At 39.0% G+C, this 3,865-nt stretch overlaps 1 non-coding gene across 1 annotated transcript; it reads right to left on the reverse strand.

Moving 5' to 3' along the window:
- Positions 1-771: 771 nt before the first annotated feature.
- On the reverse strand, positions 772-843 carry TRC-GCA9-1 (tRNA-Cys (anticodon GCA) 9-1). The gene has a single exon. It is a non-coding gene; the product is annotated as a tRNA-Cys (tRNA).
- Between the last annotated feature and the right edge of the window lie 3,022 nt (positions 844-3,865).

Raw genomic sequence — 3,865 nt, forward strand, 5'->3', positions numbered from 1 at the left:
ACTTTGCATGGTTCTGGTACATAGTAGGTGCCCAGTGTATGTTGTTCAGACTGATCTAAAAACAGAGCATTGCCTGTATTGTGGGTGGGAGTTACACCTGACTTCTGGCTCCATGCCTGGGTCCTGAATGAAGTTACCCAATGTGGGGGTATTTGGCTGTAGGAAATGAACAGGGGATGGAAGGTAATAGAAATCCTTAAGCTTTAAAGCAGAAAAATGCAGTTCCTTAAACTTCAGACCAGTTCTTGTTCACCTCCCTGAAAATGTTCTGTGGATAAAACCCTATTCCTTCGCTTTCCCCAGGGCAGTGCAAAGTATGGGCACAGTCACTAAGTCCCTGGTTTTCCTTGTGGCCAACAGGTTCTAAAACTCTATAGGCAATCACAGGACCGTGGGAACATTGCCTAGTAGGAGTTTGTCACAAAGATTTTAACATTAGGAGAGCAGTATGTGTAGTATACTTAAGTCAGTGAGAGTGTGTGCTCTGAGTTCAAATCCTGAATCTGCCCTTTATAGCTTTTTGACCTTGAGTGAATTACTAAGTATCTCCAAGTCTCAGCCTCCTCATGTAAAATGGAAATACAAGCAAACAAGTATGTGTCTTGTAAAACTGTGGTCAGAAATAGAGGAGAACCAATGTAAAGGGCCTAGACTTGCATGTACTAAGAATGCAAGCCAGGGACATTAGTTATTATTCAATCAGCCATGAGCCATAGAAGATAAGAAGTCAAAGTCAATCCATGTTCTTCTGAAACAAAAACACAAATGCACAGGGGGCACCTGGATTTGAACCAGGGACCTCTTGATCTGCAGTCAAATGCTCTACCCCTGAGCTATACCCCCATGCTGGTAAGCTTGCTTTTATAGTCTATCTCTCTCTCTCTCTCTCAACATTCTGGTTCTAAAAACCTCCAGTGACTCAGGGGAGCTATAATTAGAATGTTGTCTGAAGGAAGTCTGGGCATTACAAGCTTTAGAAGAGGTTTATTATGAAAAAAGACAGGACTCCTGAAAACTAAGTTCTCAGGAGCCAAGAAACTCTTCTTAGACTGGCCAGTACCCAGAGCCTTATTCCTGTCCACCATATCTCACAGAAGGCAAACCTCAATTCCAAGTAAAAATAATCAGATTCTCCACAAATGGCAACATCAATATAATGTGGATGACTGGATTCCTGTTGAGCTTCTCTTAGCTAAGGCTCCTAGCAACTGAGATTCTTATTCCTCTTCATGACTTCACAGAATTGAGCTCATAACTAGCACTCCAGATATTTGTTGCATTAAATTGACTCTGGAAAAATATATATATAAATAACAATTTGTGTGAGATAGCTTTTCCAAGCCACAACTGTAAGATGGTTTTAGTCACACAAAAACAGATGGTCAGTGAGTTACACTCTTGTGTAACATAACGTCCCTGAAATTTGGAATATTGCCAACTTTGAAAGGTTATTTGATGAAGAGAAACAACACTCTAGATGAGAGTCTCTTAATCAACCAAGTAAATAATTTATCCTGGTCCAGCCACCAAAGATTCATTTTCAACTTCTAAACACAACCACAGTTACAGCAACCTATATTTCCTGACCTCATAAACATCTCCTCTCACCCTAATAAATTGTGCAGGTGCTTCTTATGTAAATCTTACATGTTTGAGCCTATTGAGAAGTGTCTCTTCTGCCAATTTCCTAGGCCGCATACATTATTCAGGCATTTCCAAGGGATCCTACATTTGGGATGATCATTTTGTGTCAGAGTTTTGGTTGGTTGGGAGCATAGAAGAGGCTCCTCTACCTCAGGCTGGAACTGAGAGCTAAGAAAATAATTACAATGCATGCTTTGCTCATTGTTCTTTTCTCATGCTGGCCATCAGTGGGAGTTGAGATTTTAACAGTAGCAGACGTACTCTGTGCTTCATATCAAAGAACTCCAGTGCTGGAAGGGTTTTAGAGATCATTATTTCAACCACTTCTTTTGTACACTAAGAAACACAGGTTGAGAGAAGCCAAAGAGCCTTGCTTAAAATCACAAGCATGTCAGTGGCAGGATATGGACTGGGGTCCACTCTACTTAGAGCACATTAGAGGCAGGGTCCTTTGAAGGCTCCCACTGCCTGGAACAACACAAGTGTTCAAAAAATGCTTGTGGGATAAATATCAGGCTGTAGTTGTATACAGGGTGCCCAACCATCCTGGTTTACTGGAGAGTTACCCAGTTTTAGTACTAAATGTTCTACATCTCAGGAAAGCTTTCAGTTCCAGGAAATTCCTCAGAAAATTGGGTATTTTCTAAATGTTATCACCTACTTTTTCCATTGTCACAGTTTTTATCATTTCCACATACCTCCTATAGTAGTATTTACTTACTATTTGTCTTGAAATCAACTTACTGTTTTTTTTACTTAGCCTCATCCTGACCAAAAATATCCTTGAAATCATGCTAGTTGTATTTCTTTTTACTGTACATCAAAATACATAGACAACTATTAAAATATGTTAAAATCATATATAACATGTTCCATTTACAACTTGCCATTCATGCTTCTAAACATTTTACAAATACTAATTTATTTAATCTTCAAGACAATCCAATGAGGGAGGAAATATTATCATCTTTACCTTACAAATGAGAAAACTGAAGCACAGTGAAGTTAAATAACTTGCCCAAGGTCACACAGCTAGCCAACTTGTCCATATATCCCCAAAGTCATACTGGAAACCCTCAGTGGTCACCATAGTGTACTTATTAATTTAATATTTTAACCTGACTGGGCCACAGGGTGTCCAGATATTTGGTTAAACGTTATTCTGGGTATCTGTGAAGGTATTTCTGGATGAGATTAACATTTGAATTAGTAGACTGAGTAATGCAGATTGCCCTCCCTAATGTAGTTGGGCTTCCTCCAATCAAGTTGAGATCCAAATAGAGGAAAAATGCTGAGTGAGAGGGGACTTCTCTTGCCTGACTGCTTTGAGCTGGGACATCAGTCTTTTCCAGCCTCTGGACTCAAAATGAAACATCAGCTCTTCTTGGGTCTTGAGCCTGCTGGCTTTCAGCCTGAAACTATACCATCAGCAATCCTGGGTCTCCAGCTTGCTAACTAGAGATCTTGGGATTTCTCAGCCTCTATAATCATATGAGCCAATTCCTCGTAATAAATCTCTTTCCATATGTATATGTGTGTATGTGTGTGTGCAAGCATATACATATATGTATGTATGTGTGTATGTGTGTGTGTGTATATATATATCTGTGTGTGTGTGCATATATATATATCTGTGTGTGTGTGTGCGTATTTGGTTCTTTTTCTCTAGAGAACCCTGACTAATACACACAGGATACTCTGGGAAGAATAGTCAGGCCTGCACTAGTTTTGAGGATCCTGTCCGTATTTGTTGAGATTGTTTAAACCCCATAAGGCCCAGAACAGCACCTGCCGCAAGATAGGAGCTGAACTGATCTGCTCTTATATTCCTAACCTTCTGCTATCATGAGATCACATATATGAATTTGCTCTCAGTGCTCTCAAAACATAAGTAAAAGTAAAAGTTAATGTTTGTTTTAATTATAAGGTATATAAGCCAAATAATCTGGTCTGATTCCAAAGCGTAGCACTCAACGATTTTCATCAGAGCCACAAAAAAGGAGGGGATTTACAAAACAAAACATCTTGCAGAGATCTCAGAAAAATTGTGGCAATTATTCAAAATATGTTCAACCACAGGTTTCAGAAACTGAAACTTCCTAATATTTCTAGATTCCATAAAACTAATAATGGAAACTAGAATTTAAGTTTTTCAAAGCTTCTGCACAGCAAAGGAGACAATTAAAACATGAAAAGGCAACTTACAGAATGGGATAAAATA

Source organism: Homo sapiens, chromosome 3 (assembly GCF_000001405.40).
Source record: "Homo sapiens chromosome 3, GRCh38.p14 Primary Assembly".
Lineage (NCBI taxonomy): Eukaryota > Metazoa > Chordata > Mammalia > Primates > Hominidae > Homo > Homo sapiens.